At 39.3% G+C, this 22,336-nt stretch overlaps 1 protein-coding gene across 14 annotated transcripts in view; it reads right to left on the bottom strand.

The window, feature by feature from the left end:
- FRMPD4 (FERM and PDZ domain containing 4) overlaps positions 1-22,336 on the bottom strand; it is a 902,085-nt gene that overhangs the window by 214,088 nt on the left and 665,661 nt on the right. For 11 of the 14 annotated variants that reach the window (NM_001368398.3, NM_001368395.3, NM_001368402.3 and 8 more), the window contains one exon: positions 11,640-11,756. In NM_001368398.3, coding sequence (NP_001355327.1) covers positions 11,640-11,756 — 117 coding nt within the window. Of the gene's footprint in view, positions 1-11,639; positions 11,757-15,366; positions 15,472-22,336 lie in introns of those variants that run through there. The other 3 variants (XM_017029985.2, XM_005274632.4, XM_017029984.2) reach the window with 1 other exon arrangement.

Raw genomic sequence — 22,336 nt, 5'->3', positions numbered from 1 at the left:
AATTACAGAGTACAGAGCATTCCTGTATATGTGGCACTCAGTTTCCCCTATTGTTAACATCTTACATTAGTGTGGTACATTTGTCACAATTTATGAACCAATATTGATACATTATTATTAACTAAAGTCCACATTTTATTCAGATTTCTTTAGGTTTTACCTAATGTCCTTTATTTGTTCCAAAATTCCAACCAGTATAGCATATTACATTGAGTTGTCATGTATCCTTAGACTCCTTTTGGCTGTAACAGTTTTATCATTTATTTTTTAGGTACATAAACCAACAAATTATTTTTATCATTGAAGCCAAATTGACTTAGAATTTTTTGTTGCTTGTACCTCACAGGATTCCCAGATGATACAGATTTCTAGTCCAAACACATTGTTGTATAATGAGAAAAGTGAGGCCCACAGTGTCCTAGTGATAATCCACCATCACAGAGCTAACACTGAAAGAGCTGGGATTTTACCCCAAGTTTTTTTACTCTTATTTCTGTGCTTTATTATTCTATGCCACTTGTTGCTAAAATACACTGCAACGACACTATTTCCAGAAAGATAATTTTATTGCATCTTGAATTTCTGATAAACAGCCACACTAACTTATGAATTGGTGACAAGGTTTTGATAAACGTTTAGTGTCTTATTATAAAATAAAGGCTTTACCTAAATGCCTAAATTCTTATAATTTTTTTTTTATTTCCATAGGTTATTGGGGGAACAGGTGGTGTTTAGTTACATGAGTAAGTTCTTTAGTGGTGATTTGTGAGATTTTGGCGCACCCATCACCCGAGCAGTATACATTGTACCCTATTTGTAGTCTTTTATTCCTCACCTGCTTCCCACTCTTTCCTCTGAGTCCCCAAAGTCCATTGTGTCATTTTTATGCCTTGACATTCTCATAGCTTAGCTCCCACTTATGAGTGAGAACATATGATGTTTGGTCTTCCATTCCTGAGTTACTTCACTTAGAATAATAGTCTCCAATCCCATCCAGGTCGCTGTGAATGCCATTAATTCATTCCTTTTTATGGCTGTGTAGTATTCCATCGTATATATATACACCAAAGTTTCTTAATCCACTTGTTGATTGATGGGCATTTGAGTTGGTTCCATGTTTTTGGAATTGCGAATTGTGCTGCTGTAAACATGCATGTGCAAGTATCTTTTTCGTATGACTTCTTTTCCTCTGGGTAGATACCCAGTAGTGGGATTGCTGGATCAAATGGTAGTTCTACTTTTAGTTGTTTAAGGAATCTCCATACTGTTTTCCATAGCGGTTGTACTAGCTTATATTCCCACCAGCAGTGTAGAAATGTTCCCTGTTCACTGCATCCACATCAATATCTACTATTTTTTGGTTTTTTGATTATGGCCATTCTTGCAGGAGTAAGGTGTATCCCACTAAATGCCTAAATTCTTTTTTTTTTTTTTTTTTTTTTTTGAGACAGAGTCTTACTCTGTCGCCCAGGCTGAAGTGCAATGGTGCGATCTCAGCTCACTGCAATCTCCACCTCCTGGGTTCAAGTGATTCTCTTGCCTCGGCCTCCTGAGTAGCTGGGATTATAGGCACGCACCACCATGCCTGGCTAATTTTTGTATTTTTAGTAGAGATGGGGTTTCACCATATTGGTCAGGCTGGTCTCAAACCCCTGACCTCATGATCTGCCCGCCTTGGCCTCCCAAAGTGCTGGGATTACAAGCGTGAGCCACCACACCTGGCTAATGCCTAAATTCTTCTAGTGACATTTCTACATCAGTAATTTAAGAAGAGATACTCACTGATTTTTGTATCAGCATTTTCCCTTATGGCCCACTGAATATAAGGCTTCAGAAACAGGCTTATTCATCCATCCATCCATTCATCCACCCATCTACTGATACAAACATACATCTAAACATCTATTCAACAAATACTTATTAACTGCATACTATTTCCCAGACAATATTCTAGGCAGTGCAAACTGATTTTTGTTGGTCTCCTTTATCTCCTGTAGGAGAATAGCCATGAGTCTCCAGTAATTTCTGGACCAAAACCAAATGGTACCAACATATTCAACTTATTAATCCTTTACCCTTTTGGGGGTTTTATGTAGGAATGCGGGCTTGATAATGTGGGAAACTGAAGTTTAAATGTTGAGCTTAAAAAAAAAAAAGAACCACCTGAGGAACCTCTCATGAGCTTGGAGCAAAAGGAGAATGGTGAGAGAAAGGAGAAGCTGAGAGAACAATCTAGAACAGAATATCACCAAAAATGAGTTAAGGACATTTACACAGAAGCCTTATAAAATTCCACAATGATAATAAGCAACATTTTTCCAAAACACTATGGACAATTAACTTTTTGAAAGTACAATGGGGCTGTTTTTCTGTCGACCATTAGTAAGCGCAAATTGCTATGTAATTTTCACCTTCCTAATAATTATTTGCACTTGTATTCAGCATTCCATTGTGACTGGGCTGCCCCCTGCTATCATTTCCTGTCCTCTGTACCCCTCCCACAAAGGTGCTGGTTAGAGTGGGAGAGCAGATGCAAACCCTGTGATTGATTAGCAGACCTCCTCCCTGTGAACACCCACCAAAAGGAAGGGAGGAGTCATGGCATTTTCATATTAAAAGTTGTACTTCTCTGGTGAATGTTGACATTGTTCCTAGAACAACCTTTAAGGTAGGTCATAGGTGTCAGAGCTATGCAAGAACTGCATGCTGACAGAAGACACATCATAGAGCTTTCTGGCAACAAGTAGGACAAACTGGGGCTCTGAGGTCCATTTTTAGCTCCCTGCAACCTCAGAAAAGTCATTTTACTAATCTCTGCCCTAGTTTCTTTCAAACATAAAACATGTGTCAGCTCCTCATTTCATGGGAGGGTTTTGAAAATTTATCAATTAGTGAATTAAAAATATAAGAATGGGCTCAAATGGATGATGTTTTAGAGTAGGGATTGGCAAAGTACTATATAGCTCATGGGTCACATCCGGCCCCCAGTCTGTTTTTGTAAATAAAGTTTTATTGGAACACAACCATGTCCATTTATTTACATGTTTCCTATGACTGCTTTAACACTACCATGGCAGACTTGCACTGTTGAGTCACAACAGAGACCACATGGCCTCCAAAGCCTAAAATATTTACTATGTGACCATTTACAGAAAAGGTTTGCTGACCTGGCTTAGAGGATTACCTTGGGGTGGGGGAAGAAAAGTATTTATCTTTTTATGAGAAAACCTATCCTTGACAGGGCATGGGGATTGCTTTGTGAGGGAGTCAACAGCTAAAAGCAATCATTCCTCTTTGCTAAGCCTTTATTGAGAAGGCCATGTGAGAAATGCTTTTTTAAAAAGAGTCAAGAGGTGAGGTTGGGAGGTGATGGTGAAAGGCTAATGAGTTGTTAACAGACATGGCCTTCTAAGAAACATGAATGACCAAGGAACCCTGCCATATCCTTTCTTACTTGTGTTACTTCCCTGTATTAGCCAACCACTTACAGTGAAAATGATGACAGAAGGAAAGGGAAAGATAGGGCAGCCCACTGTTCTTTTTCTTTCAGTTCTCCCTTACTCACCAGCAAGCCAAAGGGAGGGAGTGTTAGTAGGATGTGCTCATATTAAGAAGTACAATCAAAACAATTGAGTTAGTTGTGTGCAGCATTTCTACTGTTCTGATTAGAATGAAAGACATATGCATGTCTAAGCTATGAAATACAAATTGTATCATTTCAGTGATTCTTCAGACAAGTTAATGCTCTTATATTTTCATCTGAAACTTTCATCATACAAGGATGATTAGTAAAATTCCTGCTAATAATTTAAAATTTTCATGTGTCTTATTATGAAATGTCATTAAATAGGCCGGGTACAGTGGCTCACGCCTGTAATCCCAGCATTTTGGGAGGCTGAGGCAGGCAGATCACGAGGTCAAGAGATTGAGACCATCCTGGCCAACATGGTGAAACCCCATCTCTACTAAAAATACAAAAATTAGCTGGGTGTGGTGGCGTGCACCTGTAATCCCAGCTACTCAGGAGTCTGAGGTGGGAGAATCTCTTCAACCCAGGACGCGGAGGTTGCAGTGAGCCGAGATCGTGTCATTGCACTCCAGCCTGGCGACAGAGAGAGACTTTGTCTTAAAAAAAAAGTCATTAAATAGGAAATAAAAAACTCTATGACATGTTAACAGAGAGACCACAGAAGAAGGGGAAAAGCTTTACATTTTCATACCTTTTCCAGCACTTTTATCCTGCTTTTTGAACAAGGGGCCTGCATTTTCATTTTGCAACAGGTCCTAAAAATCATGGAGCCAGCCCCATGTGCTCAGCGGCACCCTTTAAGTTCAAAAAGCATTTCTGAGTTTCTCCCAGCCTTCTCAACCTGAACACCTAATGCCAAACCTGTGTTTATGGAGCAGCCGGAGGGCATGCTCCGTGCAGCAAATATGTGACATGGCTACTCGTGACTCAGATTGATCCGAGTGTTCACTGGCTCCAAGAGTAGTGTGATCTCTTATCATCCTTGCAATTGAAGGAGCTCTTCACCAGAAATTGGCCATTGATAACAAGGCTTTATTCAAGCTTTGAGAGGAACTACAGGATAAGGGCTTGGCAGGAACTGCAGTTTCCCACCTTTTGGTGGACCACAGTATGGCACTTCTGTCACCAGCCCTCCCGTCTCAGTTGCTCTCCCCCCCTTTTTTTTTTTTTTTTTTTTTTCGGATGGAGTTTTGCTCTTGTTGCCCAGGCTGGAGTGCAATGGCACGATCTTGGCTCACCGCAACCTCTGCCTCCCAGATTCAAGCGATTCTCCTGCCTCAGCCTCCCAAGTAGCTGGGATTAAAGGCATGTGCCACCATGCCTGGCTAATTTTGTATTTTTGGTAGAGACAGGGTTTCTCCATGTTGGTCAGGCTGGTCTCCAACCCCTGACCTCAGGTGATCCGCCCACCTCAGCCTCCCAAAGTGCTGGGATTACAGGTGTGAGACATCGCTCCTGGCCCTGCTCTCCTTCTTTTATGCTGGAGTGCAGACAATACTGAAAAGGCACCTGCCTCCAAGGTGATTCCATGTCCTCTTAAGCTCAGCCAATTTACTTGGCAGCAACACCCACACCCCCACGTGGCATTTGGCACAGGCCAGAATTTCTGCCTGTGCCCCAGCCTTAGGCAATAACATCAAAATTGCTCTCTGCAAGGGTTGGCTCAATCTAGAAAGAAGAGGTCCAGAGGCCACTCAAAAAAATCAAGGGTGGCAGGCAGCCCCAAGCTAGTATTTCAATTACAGGCTGTGATGGAAACCTGGTCCTCCAGGTGCTTCTCCTTTGCACAGGTTGGCCATCCCTGTGATACTGAATGGACTTTGTGACCCACCTCCTGTACATCCCTAGGGGCTATATACAGCATAGGAGAAGAAAGAGGCGACCCAGTGCACTAGCTAACCTGCTGTCCACAGCTTGGCTTGAATGTACATGCCCCAACTCTGTTGTAGTCAAGTGGCCCAAGGAACTTTAGATAATTACAATCCCTCCAGATACTCTGGCCTGCTGGACAAATAAGGAGAGCAACTCAGGGATTTGTCCTAGAGTGAAGGCCAGATTAAGTAAGCCAGCAAAGTTTCAAGAAGAAACATTCAAGAAGAAACATAGGGAAAATGAAACAGCCTCTGAAGCAGAAGTTTGCCTAGCACAGCTCTTTGTGCCATATGCCAAATTAGATCTGGAATGATAGAGTCATTTCAGAGCTTTCCTGTTAAAAGCCCTTCCATCAACTCTGCAAACTTACCTTCCAGCTGGGAGCAGTGATTATTAACTCAGCAGATAGGTGCTTTGTCAGATTCAAAAGAAAACAAATCTGCTCCAATGAAGGGAATAAACAGCTCCTAATGTTCAGCCTGGGAAGCTTTTGTATTAACAGGGCATAATTACCTTTCATTTCATGTAATGATACTATCATATTGACTTCGTTTCCCCCATTCCAAAATTACAATATACTTTCCTCCCCTTGACTGGATGCTTGGGATCTAGGAACTCATTGAACCAAATGACATTTGCTCTTGCCATGAGGCAAGTATTTGCTTTTTATGCAGAACCCATCATGCGTACTCAAAAGCAACATATTTAAGAATTGTTCATCAAAAACACCCACAAAAAATGAGGCAAACTGCCTGTTTTCTAACATATTGCTAGTTATTAACTCTTTGGATGCTTATACACCTCACAGAATAACAGAGTAACCTATCACCAAGAGATTTCTCTTATTTCCTTCATGGGCACAACTGTTAATTTCCACAAAGACCTGCAGCATTTTATTAGCAGAGACAAAAGATAACAACTTGTGTAATCTCTCAGATCAATTTGTCCTTTGTTGGGTGTGTATTAAAACGTAGGCTTGATAAAGTAGGAAATTGGTGTCTGCTCCAAATATAAAAATATCACAGGGGATGATGGGCACAACCACAATATCCACATCCCAACTTTACACCTTAACTCTTCTTGACATTTAAAAAACTTTTTAGAGGAGAAAAAGTTTAAGGGAATTCACCACAGAGTAACAGATAAAGGGACTCCACAGAATAACAGTAAAAGTCTCATGAAATCTTGTAGTAAAAATCAAGAAAAAAATATCCAAAGAATAGCCCTAGAACTACCAAATAATATCTGAAGATAACCTATTAGACTGGGTAAATACTTTGGGGCTCACACAGAAGAATGAGGTAAGGCTTTTCTATTTCTAATTTCCATGATGACAGAATCCTATCATGTTGACTTGACTGTCTTCTGCTGTGGTTGATAAGAAAGGGCATACAAATTACTTGTATTTATTCAGATTATTATTTTCTATAGATAGATAAGCCAAAAACACATTTTACATTGACCATGGAATAGATTGGCAGATGGGAATGACTAAACTACTCCGAAGTTGAGCCAAGCCCATACTGCAGAACAAAGTGGAAGTTTCCACATCTCATTACTAATCTCTACTCTTCAGGATTCAGAGTTGAATTATTCTGCATTAAGGAGATAGTAACTCAGTTTAATTGCCCACTGTGGGAATTGCTGGTAGAATAATAGAACAGCATGTCTTGTCCAATCCTCATACAGGGCTACTTTTTGTGTACACAGGATGAAGGTGGCCAGGAAGCCAGCAGGCCAACAAGAAAAAGCCTCTTAAATTTATAACTTGAAAAATCAGGCCATGTGCTTCGGAACTGACCCTCCAGTCTCCTCTCCAACCCCCATCTCTATCCCCAGACTCTAACTTGGCTCATCATAATAATCTATTTTGCCAGCTAGTATTTTAATATTTATTTTGCTCATGTTTTAATTTTTTCCTGTAATTTACAAAACCAAAGTTCCAGATTTATGAATCATGTTACTTTGCATTAACTCTCCCTACCTTTGCAGTCAAACAAGCATATTTTTACCCAATTTAACTAAAAAATGGTGTTCCTCATTCTCTGACTTTTAAACATGTATTTTTAAAATACCTTATCTTGTGTTATCCAAACCAGAACACTTTGAGAGCAAAAGGAGGTGCTGTCTGTAATTACTTCAGAATGATACCCATAAACCAGGACTCTCCTGGGTGAATGTGACTGTATAGTCACTCATCTATAGTCTATATCTGTATCTAATCATCTATACCCATATCCATATCTATAGCTCTATCATCTATACCTATAGTCTATATCCATCTATGTATCTATACCCATCTATCTCTGTATTAATACTTACGTCAATGTCTATATTCTCTATCATCTATATGTATGTCCACATCTATATCTATTTTTATATCTGTATCTATGATTGGATCTATAATATATCTACATCCCTCTCCATCTATACCTACATCTAAAGTTATTATTAATTGATGCTGTTATTGTAACAATCACCTTAGAGTATCTCACTTTCTCTGTTTCTCTTCATTTCTCTTTCTCTTCATCTCTCCCTCTTTTATCCATTTCTCATTGGGACTCCCTCTCCCATGACTCTTTCCTTTTCCTTGTAGTTTCTTTCTTTCCATCTGTCTTCCTCCCTTCCCCTGCTCTGCTCTCTCTTAACTGGTAATAGTAAGGAACTGAGAAATTTTAAATTTGCATCTATCATATTTCTTAAACAATGTTTTCTGTTCCTTAAAACTGCATTTCATATTTCTCCAAGAATATCAACAAAAGTTGTTCCTTCTCATAGGCTGAGTCTCAGTTCTACCATCCAGAAAAATGGAGTTAATCATTTCTGTGTTCAAGCCAAATAAATGAGATCATGTGTTGACAAGTGCTTTACAGCAGCAACCATAGCTGTTCATTAGAATTACCTGGGGAGCTCCTGAAACTCACTATTTCCAGGCTCAATCCCAGACCCAGGCATCAGGATTTTTTACTGATCCTCAGTCTATTCCAATGTGTGGCCAAGGTTGAGAACCATTAGTTTGCAGCCTATACGGTATTATAAAAACATATATTAGCATGTGTTTATTGCATCCTTCATTTAACCCCGTGAATCAGTAACTCTATAGATAACAGGTTACCCAGCCCTACCCTAAATAATTGGGTATGGAAGAGGGAAGATGAAACTTGAGCACATTTTGAACTCTCCTGGGCCATGTTCTGAAAGACTCATTATGTTAGAATTATCTCATTATTTAGTTGTTAGACTCTAACTTTGAACACATAAAAGCCAACTTCCTCCCATAGCTTTGTCTGTCACTTGGAATACTTGTACCTCCATCAGAAACAATTGTCTGATGGGGGTTATTTACATCCTAAGACGAGATAAAAAAAAGAAAACATCTAAATTTCTCTTTCAAAAAATATGCAAGAGAGTGAAAAATTCAATGCAAAGGTGCTAATTATCAACCATAGATTAATTTTCAAATTGTACCTTTAACTTCTAAAACTAATGAGTACAGAAATATTCCACACTGCAAACCTGGGCTCCCGAGAACTCTGATAATTAGAATACCTCTTTGTAATAAACATTACCTAGTAAGTAAAAAAAAAAAAAACAAGGAAAGGAAAAGAATGATTGTCATTATTTATAAAACTCATTAGTGATAAAGAACAAACACTTTCCGAAGAAATACTGTTCTTGACATCTTAAAACTTTCTCTGAGAGGACTGTAGAAACTTACTTTTCAAGTAAAATGAAACCACATGGATTTGGAAAAATAACACTGGTGACTTTGGTTTTAAAACTTGCCATTTAGTAATCAGTGCAGGTTTCTCTATTAAGCTGCTGATTTGCTCTTATGTTTTAACAGTGGGCATTAGGCCAGTGTAAATGTTAAACTGACACCCAGGCTGGCTCTTAAAAATGTCAGCGATGCTAATGGTAATGCATGAAGGCAGAGCTAGCTGACGTTCCCAGAACCTCTAACCAGTTGGCCTCAGTTTGGGTTTCCACCTATTGATGGAATGACCTGGAATGTATGGGAACCCAAATCCAACCAGGGGAAAAGAAACACCTGTTTTAATCAGAGAAGTCTGATGCATACCTTCATAAACCCATCATCCATATCTTTTAAAAATTATATTTCTTCAGCCCAAAATTTTTATTGTTTTGAGTCAAAGCATCTAGTTCACCTTAACTGAGCCAATTGCACACAATCATAGCCATGTTACAAAATAGATGGTACAATATAATATTAAAAAATACTGTCTTCCTAGCAGCCTAAGGGACTTGGACAAACGGTATGAAATTATGAATTCAAACTCTGGGGTTTGAGCCAAACTATTGGCCTTTCTTCTAATCTTTGAGGTTTCTGGGAGGCCCTGCTCCCACTGCCATTTCTATGATAGTATCTCTGTGAGCATATCCTTAGGAAAGCCTTGGGAAGCCAGGGGGCCACTTTCCAGTCATGTTCAAGGGCATACTGGATCTTCCTGGGATGGACCCAGGAGTTAAGTACGTCAGAAAGAAACTGTGCTCTGAAGGGGTGGGAGTCCTGTCCCCTGTGCAGCAATTCTAGGGAAGGAGAGAGATTTGGGCTTCAGAGACTGAGAAACTGTCCACAACACTCACATGTGTTGTCCCTGTTGATACTTTCCAACAATCCTCACTTGTATGTGGTGGTGCGCGGGGGTTGGTACAAAAGACCAAATCCCCTAGAAACAATCTTGGCAGATATTTTTTATAAAAATGACCCCTCACCTCACGGTGATCCGGTGTTTGGCTAATCAGTCCATAATCAACTTGGCTGGAACAAAGAATGTAGCATGTGGTTGTGAAATAATTTTTTTTTCTGGCCTCCAATCTCTCCTCTATTATAATCAGGATAGACCCAACCACACTTCCTGATTTCAAATCTGTTTCATGAATTTCTTATAATTAAGGATATTTTGCTCAGGTTGGAGAAAAAGGGCAGTATGGACCCTTGCCATTTTGAGAAATAGAAATGCTCTTTTCACAAAACTGCAAACAAACAAACAAACAAAAAAACGAAACAAAAAAACCACTCTGCAGCCACTCCAGAAAACAGTTTGGTGGTTCCTCAAAAAGTTAAACACAGCCTTTAATTTTGACCCAACAATTCCATATGTTTCAGCAACTCCACGCCTAGGTATGTGTCTAGAAGATGTGAAAGCAGGGACTCAAATTGATGCTTGTACACCGATGTTCATAACAATACCAGTAACAATAGACAAAAGGTGGAAACAACCCAAATGTCCATTAACAGATGAATGAATACACAAAATGTGGCCTATCCACACAAGGGAACATTAAAAAGGAAAAATAAAAAAAGGAAAAACTTCTGACATGTGCTACAGCATAGATGAGCCTGAAAACGTTACGCTAAGTGAAAGAAGTCAGTGACAAAAGGACAGAAAATATATAAATTTCACTTGTATGAGGTCCCTAGAGCAGATAAACTTATGGAGACAGAAAGTAGAATAGATGTCACCAGGGGGTAAGGGGAGGGAGGAACTGGCAATTATTGTTTAATGGGTACAAAGATTCTTTCGGGTATCATGAAAAAGTTCTGGAAATGGATAGTAGCGAATGGTTGCACAACATTGTGGATGTACTTAATGCCACTGAATTGTACACCTAAAACTGGTTAAAATGGTAAATTTCATGTTATCTTTCTCTCTTTTTCTCTCTCTCTCTATACCACAATTAACAAAAAACCAGAGCACCACAAAAATCCAAAACCTAAGCCAACGTTAGTGTGAGAAATTTACAATAAAACAAATAATGTACATAATCCTTTTAGCTGATTTTTAAAAAATTACAGATGAGAAAGTAGCATTCCTGTCTTGACCACTCCTAGAAAACCTTGTAAATGAGATTCTTGCATGTCCAACTTCGGTTGTTAATCTCAGACAACGAATACAACTTGGCCTAATATTTAACGGTGGAAACTTTTGCTCTGAGCCAGGCTTACCATGCTACACAGTGACTTGTCATTCGAAGATGGTGCCTGTCGAAGAATGAAGCAACCCAACATCACAATATATAGAAATATAAATGTATAGAAATAAATATATAAATATATAGAAATATAAGCAGCTGGCTTAAGAGATCCAGCTGCTTTAGTAATGGCCTCCAAATGCCTATGAGTGCCTAATTTAAGTATGTTCATTCTCATAAACAAAGATAAAGAAGTCCATTGGCCAAGGATTCTATTGTTCATGCCATCTGTTTAACCTACTTGATGAAGTAGTCTCGCCCATCTCGGTTTGCCGTCATCTCCCATCCATAGGGCGGCACCTGGCTCAAGCCCCAGGTTCCCGAGGGAGGCGGCCAGCCTGAAGACTTCGTCCTGTGGCTGGAAAAGAAAAAAAAAAAAGCATCATTACACCTGACTCCTGAACATTCCTTCTGAGACAAACTCTGGAAGGAGAATGTGACTTGCTCCTCTTAGATTGGGCAAACCCCCAATTAACGTTGCAACAAAAATCGACACATTATCTTTTACAATTTCTAGTTTACAACTTCAATTCAGCAGCAAAATGAAAGGGTAGGTTCTGGAGAATTTTCTAGGTGCCTGCCTTTCCAAGATCAAGAAGAAAGAGGAAGTAACTCCATGTGACAAGCAGTAGCAATGGGCAGCCTTGTAGTCACAGTCTGTAACCAGAGGCCTGAGTCCAGTTTCTGAAGCATCACTGAATCCTGGCTAAGCCTCCTCAGCCCAGGACCTGCAGAAATTCCTCCTTGCCCTCATGTATGCCCAAGACTTCCTCAGACCTTAACCATACTTCGGAAGGAAGTAAATGATGCTATTTTAGGATGGCTCAACATCCCTCATCACTTGGTCCTTTCACTTCAGATGAAGTTATTCACTGCATAGCCTGTAAAAGCCTTTGGGTGGTTCCAAATCCCAGGCTGGCACCACCGAAGCTGGTGGCAGGGAGCAGTGATGATGCTTTCAGGGACTCACAGTCTCAGCTACCCGTGAGCCCTTTGCAAAGAGGAAACAGCACCCCCTGCAGTCAGATGACTGCAGAGCAGGCACCCTTCCCCCAGCCTGGTGCCCACCCAGGCTAGTGAGTGTGGCAGGGGCTAACACAGCTGGGCACTCTCGCACTAGGTGCACCCTGAACAACCTCATGTGGTGGCTCTTCCGCAGCAAACATCCAAAGCAGGGGTCTCGGCCTTTCAGACTTTTAATTCCCCAGGATACTGGGCAACTCATCCCTCCCCAGCCCAGCCCTTCCAACACCTCTCAAGTGAAACAAGCCCATTTCCTGCATGTTTTCTGCAGATGAACTATTTTGCATAATTTTAACCACCTCCATTCCTTTTTCTTAACTTCCTTTCCATTTTCCTACAGCCTTCATAAAGGATGTAGGAACAGTTTTTCTGTTGGAAAAAAAGTGTTCACAAATTTAATACTGGTTTGGTAAATGTAGAATGCCACCATAGGATTATCTGTGGCCCATTGACTACTAAAAGACATGGCAAGCATTTTGTTCCTCTTCTTTGCACAAAAGTCAGCAGTGGCAATTTCCTCTGGTGGTTTTTTTTTTTTTTAATGTGCTGCTTCCCTGCAGTGAGAGAACACATGAATTTGCTACCCTGAGGTACTATTAAAACAACAACAACAAAAAAACCACACGCAAAACCAAAAAAACCCACCAATTTCTCTACGCTAGTAGAGAATGCATTTGAATGCTTTCTAAGGTGGTATCAAGAAAAGTACTTACAGGTATGAACACAGTCTATTCTATTAAAAATGTTTCCAAAAGTAATAGTACAGTTAGAAATGGCACAAAGAATATCCTTGTGAGTGAAAGGAGGCCTATGTAGAGAATGCAACAATTTATTCTGGCTTACTCAATTATGTTCGGTGTCAGAAAGTTTATCTTCCCCAGAGGAGGCTAACTTATTGAAAACAAATAAACTATCTTCCTTTCCTTTCCTTTTCCTTTTCCTTTCCTTTCCATTCTTCTTCCCCTCCATGAAATCTTAATCACTAAAGGAAAGACACAGGCTTCCTAATATAATTTACATGTAAAATATAGCATTATAATAACGAGTTGGAGGAAGGCTGAATTTTATTATAAACTACATTTTCCTGTACAGTATGTTCAGGAAGCAGCTAACAACCATTTAGCAAGATGTTTTCAAATAAAGCCTCTTGTCATAAAATACCAAATGAAGTGCCAATACTGGAAAACTCTACAAATGCAAATCAACTGAATCTAGCTCAAGGAGTATCCCCTGATACAAAACAAATAATTGAATAATTAAGATCAAACATGGCTACATGTCTGTTAATGTGTTGACAAAAAAAATACATGGATCTGAAAGGCCTTAGTATGATTTAGCAAATTAAAAGTGCAAGTAGAAAAAAAAAACACCCTTTGTAAGTATTTATCTATAACAACCTTGAGAAAAGTTAACGACACAGGTCGTAATTGCAGAGGGATTTGGCTCCGGTTCCTATGCAGTGTGATGACTACAAGTCCAGCCCTGACAACGGCCAGTATGAGGATTTCAGGCAGGCATAATCCAGGGTTTTATGTACTTCCCAAATTGAGCTGAAAAGAAGCACCTGGCAGCACTTGTTAAATATACAGATTACCAGGTCCCAGAAATGATGATTATGATTCAGTAGGTCTGCATTAGAACAAGAAATCCATGAGTAGGTGTGAATGCATTGAAACAAGTAATTCAGATGATTCTTGTCTTCAGGTAGGGTTGCCAGATTTAGCCAAAAAGCAAAGCCAAACAAAAGTATCCACTTAAATTGAATTTCAAATAAACAATGAATAATTTTTAGTATAAATGTTAGTATAATTTTATTGTAATATATAGGATATACTTATACCAAAAAGTAATGTTATTATTTATTGAAAATTTAAATTGAAGTAGGCATTCTGTATTTTTTAACTGGTAACCATGGGGTTTGGGAAATACTAGTTCTTGCTACCCCAAGCTTCGGCTGAGATCTGGTAGCATGGGTATTACCTTGTGGTTTGTTAGAAATGCAGAATCTGCATTTTCTTGAGATCCCTATGGAATTTATATACCCTGGAAAGTTTGTGAGGCATCACCCAAATCAGTGGTTTCCAGTGTGATGCCTTACTGCACGTTGGAATCCCCCATGGAGGAACTTGTAAACTACAGATGCCTGGAACCAAAGCCAAGCCACTGAGCCCGAATATCTGGGGATAGGGCCTAGGCATTGGTATTTTATACTACCCAGGTCAGCCAAAGTGGCGACCCACTGCTCCACATAACTCTACCTTTTTTTTTATTATTATTATTTTTTATTTTTAGCTGACAAGGTAGGAGAGGAAGGATGTGGTGATCAAGAGCAGATATGCTGGAGCAGAGAGTTTGAGAAGCATAGTCCCAGGAGCAGCAATAGCGGCATCACCTGGGAATTTGAGATGTAAATTTTGGGGCACCACCCAAGACCTACTGAATCCAAAACTCTGGGGTGATGGGGGTGATCCAGCAATCTGTGTTTAACAAGCTTCCACACAATGCTGATGCCCACTCAAGTTTGAGAAACACTGGGTTAGAACCAGACTCTCTTCAATCCAGGCTCTGCCGTTTATTTTCCACGACCTTGAACAAGTTACTTCATCTCCCTAACCCCCTCAGTTCCAGCTACTCCTTGGTAAAATGATGACAATAGGACCCATTGGGAGAATACTAAGTGAATTTTGTAAAGCACTCAGTATGTGCTATAAAGTCTTTGCTAAATAACTATAATATAGGACTTTGGGTGGTTTTGCAAGTATGAATGGCTTTAATCCATCCTCAGAACAGAAAGACAGTGAAAGGCTTGGTCATCTATTCTTCTCCATTCTGGCAAGAGCAGGGCAAGAAGGGTCTTAACCAAGCAGTCACACCTTCCCAGAATGTCAGAAGGTGATGAGTTCAGCCATTCTCAAGGCGGAAGGAAACATCAGAAAGTTTTTTACCAGAAATCCCAGCTGTGTGATCCTGGGTGCACAGTGTCCATTTCCACCGGGCTCAGGCAAGGCCTTGAGAGTTCTTGCAATTCTGATGTCCTGTGACTTCTATCTGAGAGCATGGCTGTGTGAACCACTTTCAAACGCTTAGCTCAGCCTTAAAAATAGCGACCTACATTGGCAGGGCTATTTAAGTCACTTCAGAAACTCCCAGCGACTGACTGAACTGGTTTGTAACTTTGTGCTTTACCCATCTATTGTTTGCAACAGATTGAAACCTTCCTGGACAAAAAATGTCTTCATACTTGATAGGAAATGAGAGCAGCTATGAATGGTACAGACAAAGTTGTGGAACGATTTGTATTGCAACCATTAGTGGAAGCAACCCATGGTTTCCTCCTGCGTTCATGCCTCTAAGTCCTGGACAAAATCTCGATGGCCAGCTCGCCCTAGGAGAAGGCAGGCTTTCAGGAGCCACCTGGAGGCCTCTTTGGTATTTGAGTTTCCTTAGAAACATGGCAGTATCAGAAAAAGGGATGCCGTAGGGGAGAAGGAATGTGAGGTCAGGTTCCAAAGTCCCGAGTCAGATTCAAATTCTGCCACTTACTAGATTTGTGACCCTGTGCAATTTACTCTAAACTCTCTGTACCTTGTTTTCATCACCTGTAAAGTAGAATTATTCTAACTCACTGTTTTTCATCTGGGGTGATTTTGCCCCCAAGGGACACTTAGCAATATCTAGAGATTTTTGGTGGTCACAACTGAGGGGAGGAGGAGACTAGGTATATTGCTAAACATCCTACAACACACAGGACAGCCCCTCAAAAGATAGAACTATCTGGCCAAAATGGCAATAGAGCCAAGATGAAAAAACCCTGCTTAGCTCATAGGACTGTTACAAGAAGATAATGTAATTAATGCACAATTCTTAGTATAGTACCTGGTATATAGCAGGTTCTCAATAAACCTTAGTTGAATAAAACATAAAACCAAGCATTCTCAAGGTTTCTGCTTAGAGTCTAATAGTGATAAATACAACATATCTTTACATCAGAGGGAAAGAGTTCAAATACCAGGTTTGCCACTTAACAGGTTGGCTTTTCTGGGTTTTAGTTTTATGTGTAAAATGGAAATAATAACAACTAGCTCACAGTGATGTTATGCAGATAAATGAGATACATAAAGCTCTAAAGTACAATGCTTGACTCATTTAGAATAGTCTCATCAAATGGTACATTGTGTTGTAAGCAGTAATGGTCATACTAATAAGAGTAGCACGCAGCATTTCTAAGGATATAACTGCTTAGGATACTCACAGGCCTGCCTCAGCACGCAACAGGCGCCTGCATTATTATTTCCCTTTCAAAGATGAAGAAACTGAGACACAGAAAGGGTGTATAACTAGCCTAATAGGGACAGCAATCTACTGAGCCCTGAGACTTTCTACTCCAAACTCCATATTACTTACACTGTGCCACAAATAAGTGTGATAACAACTTATCAGCTTTCTTATGTATCTGGTAATATTTTGGACAGGTAGCCAGGAATAAGCTGCATCCTTTGAGACTTGGTGTTGAGGAATGCATTATCTTCATTTCAGATATGGGAAAACCAAAGCTAAAGCTCTATGCATTCGGTCATTCATCGGTGACATTGCATGATACTATACAGGTCTAACAAAATAAAACACGATCCAGAATTTTATCATTCTTATCTTTGTGGACTCACAAAGATTATTTTCAGACTAACCCAAGGTTATATAGCATTCTCATTTAGCTTGCTGTAAATGGTGGTTGGATTATAGAACCCCAAACCCTACAGATACCTCAAGGTATCCTAAGATAGTATTTTACATTTGCAAGCAGATGGTATTCAAGGTATGTTTTGGGTTGACATGCAATGTGGGTTAAGGTAAGGAAGTGGAGAGGTGTGAGGAAAATGAATGATAATAGATGGTTCTGGATGAATTTAACAAGCTCCAAGTTTTGAAGACAGCCATGTTTCTTTTGTGCCCAGCTTGATATGTCACATTGGGGTTAGTAGAGGGTCCCTGGCATGACCCTCAGGGAGAAACTGTCCTGTACAGTTTCTTGCCCCCATGAATCAGTAAGGAACCGGCTAACCAGGTCTTTTCATTCCATTTATTCGTGCTGTAGACACACATAGGTCCTGAATCAGGCTGCTTTCTCTTTTCCCTCAGAACATAACTTTCTCCATTAAATCAAGCTTCAGTACAGTAGTCAAAGTATTTTGATCTCATACAACAGGTAGCAGCTTTTCATTCTACTGTTCCTTATTAGCAGGTTTTGGCACAGGTACATGTGAGGAAAGCTACATTAATAGCCTGAAAATAACTTCAAAGCCCCACAGATAGAAGTAAAAATCATCCCACCAACTATTTTTAAGACGTCACTTTTGTTATGACAAGGAGGACAGGAAAATATAGTAAAGGGGGAAAAGCACACAGTTAAAAACTACTTTAAATATTAATGCCAAGCCTCATGAAAGCAGATGCTCAAAAATATATTCATTACAAAATGATTTTAATCAAGAAGAAATGTATTATTAATCAAGAGTTTCACTATGGTAAAAGACATTTGACTGTATATTTTAACAACCAAATTGAAATACTTTTCTGATTATTTTCATCTGATTCATTACATGATTTACCAACCCACACAATAAAATTAATTATGTAGTTATACATCTATGATTTTCAGCACAAGCCTCTCACAGCTTGTTGAGTTAGTTATGTTTCTTAATTAGGTATCAGGGAGAATTATTAGGATAATTAAATCTGGGTTAACTGGTCTTCTTCCAAAAGTTTCTACTTACAAAGTTCAGCCTCACTTTGTGAACAATCCAGTGACAGAATCCAGATGTCTTCAGGGTCTGAGGCCATGTATCTATAGAGTCCCCAGACATCACATGCAGTGGTTGCCATTAAAGTTAGATGCAGCCCTGCCCCGAATTGGACATTTGAATTTTGTACTGTGCATTTGCATCTCTTAGTTCACTGAATTCTCCAACTCTGTAAATGTGGAAGGACAATATAATTAGCATGATATTGTTGAGGAGATAGCATAGTAGAATGGCTAAGATTCATTGCTCAGAGAGGCATCACAGAGCTAAATGTGAGAACCGTCAACAGGTCAAGTCTTGAGCTCCTTCTGCTAGAATGCTGTTGTACCTGTTCATGAGTTTGTAGCTGTTATTATACTTCCCAAGCATATGATGCCAGGTGGTAGGCTGGGCACTCACCCTTGAGGGGATGGACAATGTCCTTACCTTTCTATCAGTATTACTCAGACTAGTGCCAGGCACATGATAGATGTTCAAATGGGAATTGAATTAATAAATGAATCCAAGCTACATGATGATACTGGCACAGGATGTTAGGATTAAAATTGTAGTTCTCTGCCTTTGAGTGGGTAAGAATACATGTGTGTTGAAATGCCATTTGTTGAATAACTGCTGTCAGGCACTGTTCTAGGCACTTTCACAGATTCTTTCTTTTTAATCCTTAGAACAGCTCAACAAGAGGGGTTGTTTGCTACTACGTCAGCTCATCCAATGATGGAATAGCATTCAGACATTAAACCAAAGTTGTAGATGAAGACCGACTGCCATAGGATGTAGTTAAATGAACAAAGTTGGTTACAAAAAGGGTGTGCACCATGTGATCCACCTTGTAAAAAAAATCTGTGTGCATAGGCAAGAAAAACAGTCTGGAAGAATGGGTACACTGTGGTTAAATCTGGGTTGTCAGATTAAGGTGGTTTTTTAAATTCTTGCGTATTTAAATTTTGTGTATTTTATATTGTGTATTTAAATTTTGTATATTTTTCCTATAGTGAATATATATTACTTTCATACTTAGGATTTTATTTTAAACAAATGAAACTAGAAAACGGTTATGATTCCATGTGGATTCTTGGTGGAATCGCTGGAGAAATTGTAGAGAGGAAGTACTGAAGGTGTGAAAACATACAGTGCTGGTGTGGCTCTAGGGAAACACATTGCCATATATTGCCCAGAGTGCATTTTGGCAATCCCTGATAGAGGGCAATTTAGCAACCTCTATCCAAACTGAAAGGAGCATACATTTTGTCCTAAGTGTTCATCAGTATAAAACATGGCACAACCACACAAAGGAATACTATGCAGCTGTAAAAAGAAGGAATGAGGAAATTCTTTATGTACTGATTTGGGAAGACTCTGCAGATACATTAAAATAAAAAAAATCAATATGCAGAAATATGTACAACCTGCTACTACTTGTGTAAAATCAGGGAAGAATAAAGTAGAAAAAAAAGCCAAACCATGGAGTCTAGATTCAGACAGAGCTGCATTTGAACACTGATGCCACCTCATAGCATCTGTGTGAGCTTAACCAGGTTCCTTATCCTTGTCCAAACATCAGCTTTCTCCTCTGAAAACTAGGACTAATACCGACCATCCTGTTGAATTGTTGTAAGGACTGTATGACATAGGTGATCAAAAGCTGCTATCATTATTACTTGCACACATTCTTTAATGCATATAACAAATATTGATTGAATGCCTAGTTTGTACCACACGCTGTTCTAGGTGCTTGGAATGCATCAGTGAACAGAATAGACAAAACCAGAGTTATTGACACGTAAAATAAACACCAATGATCACCTAACTTAGACTTTTTTCTTCTAGCCTAGCATCTACAATGGTTTGAGCGTGTCCCCCAAAGTTCACATGTTGGAAATTTGATCCCCAATGCAGTGGTATTGGGAGGTGATGGGACCTTTAAGAGGTGTTTAAGTCATGAGGGCTCCACCCTCATGAATGAATTAATGCTGTTATCGTGGGAATGGTTTATTATAAAAGGGGGAGTTTGGCCCCAGAACTGTGAGAGGTAAATTTTGCAAGGTTCCATGGTCAGTCTCGTACTGCATATAGCAACCCTATACTATACAGTTCCCGCTGTGTGGGATAGAATGTAGTCTGAGAGCTCTATTTCTCTTTTTCAAGCATCCAGTGCCCTCATGACATTACATTTGCTCATTCACTCATTCAAAACGTTTCATTGAGGACTCTTGTATCAGTCCTTTTGTAGGACTAGAGCTGTGACAAGCAGATAGGGTGCTTGCTTTCCTGGACACTTATGGGACTTATAACATTGTTGAAGAAGGCAGGCATCATGGCTCACCCAACCTGGACGTTGTCCTGGCTCTGGGTTGTCCCCTGAATCCTGAGCTTTAATTGAAACTTCTCAGTTAGGAGTTCATGCTGGGAAATTCAGGAGAGAGGGAAATCTTCCTTACATTCCTCAAACTATCCCACACAGACAACAGTTTAACCCATACCAATCATTAAATGCTTTTTCTTGCTTCATTTAGGACCCAGTCTGTTGCCTTTAGCGGTAATATGGAACCTGTGTATTGCTCTCAGGACCCACCAAATGCATCATGTCATAGAACTTGACAGTGATTACAGAGTTAATGAAACACAGCATTGTTGAATCTGCCAAATGGCCTAATCTAATTTTCAAATGTGTTGTTAAAACACTTTTGCAAACACTCATCATTTTAAGAGATAAAATTCATCTTCACATTTCACTTATTTATGGATGACTCATAACCTAATACTGCTACTCACCAAGCTTAGCCAAATCCAACTGGCTTCCCTTGAACATGTATACGAAATATTCAAACATTTTCCGATTTAGCTATTCATTGTGAAGATTATATTCTCACTGTTTGTTGGGGACATGGGCATGTATTTTAATTATTTTTGAATTTTATGGGTTAACCTATATTTATCTAGACTGTAGTTTACTTAATCTTCTTGACTTTGCCTAAAAACTTAGAATCCTAAAAGTATATCTATTTAATAATTATCTCCCATTCCATTAAGTTCTTAAATTCTTTCTGAGTAAGGAAACCAAAATATTTCCTAAAAACTATTCTGAGGAGGCTAAGTTCTAAGTCTACCATTGATAGTAGGGATCAGCAAATTTATGTAAAGAGCCAGATATACTAAATATTTTCAGATTCATGAGTCATAAGCTCTTTGTACCAACTATTCAACTCCACCATTGTATCAAAAGTAGCCATAGACAATGTGGAAACTAACGGACATGGCTGTGTTCCAACAAAACTTCATTTACAAAAACAAATCCACATGTGGCCTTCGAGCCATAGTTTGCTGACCTCTGATTTATAGTGTCACCTTGAGAAAGTCATTTATTTTTCTGCCCTTCTATTTTCTTATTTTTAGAATGAAGGGGCTAGACTACATGATTTCAGAAGTCCCTTCAAGCTCCAAAATGTTCACCTCGGTTGACTAACCAGGTTTCTTTCTCAAAGGCCGTAATCTTCAACAGGACTGGAAGAGACTCTGATACACAAATTGTGCAAAACTTTTTTTTCACTGAAGTAACAGTTCACCACTCAGGGAAAATGAAAAAAAAAATTCTATTTTCCATAGCATTTGACCCAAAGATAGAACATTATAGTTCAACCCATCACATACCTGCATATTTATGGGGAGTTTTAAATCTCTGAACAATTGATCTTGTCTTGTAAATAGGGCCACTATTTGGAGGAATGGTATTTCAAATATGCAATATGCTGGCAGTCCAAAACAATAATGGAAAAACTCACTCTAGTGGCTGCTTTCCAAAATTCAAATCAAGATTCTTTGGGGCTTGTGGAAACAGTATCACAAGCTGATATTTAAAGGTTTTCAAATGTGATGTTGTAAGATAGCTTTACTATCAAGTGGTATGATATCTAATAATGTCCACCATTGTTTTAGCCTTACTCACATTTTTTTAAACTACCAAAGGCTGGTAGTTCTCCAAGCTAAAGTGCCTATTTTCTATCAAAAACATGTTTGAGTTTGGCTTGCTATCTCAGTGTCTGCTGGAGACCCTTTCTTTACTGCTGAATTATAATCCCTAAAGAGCAGGTGTTTATAGTAAACCTGCTGACATAATTAA

The sequence above is a fragment of the Homo sapiens genome, chromosome X, assembly GCF_000001405.40.
Source record: "Homo sapiens chromosome X, GRCh38.p14 Primary Assembly".
Lineage (NCBI taxonomy): Eukaryota > Metazoa > Chordata > Mammalia > Primates > Hominidae > Homo > Homo sapiens.
Note: the sequence above shows the minus strand (reverse complement) of the source record. Positions and strands in the feature narration are given on the sequence as shown.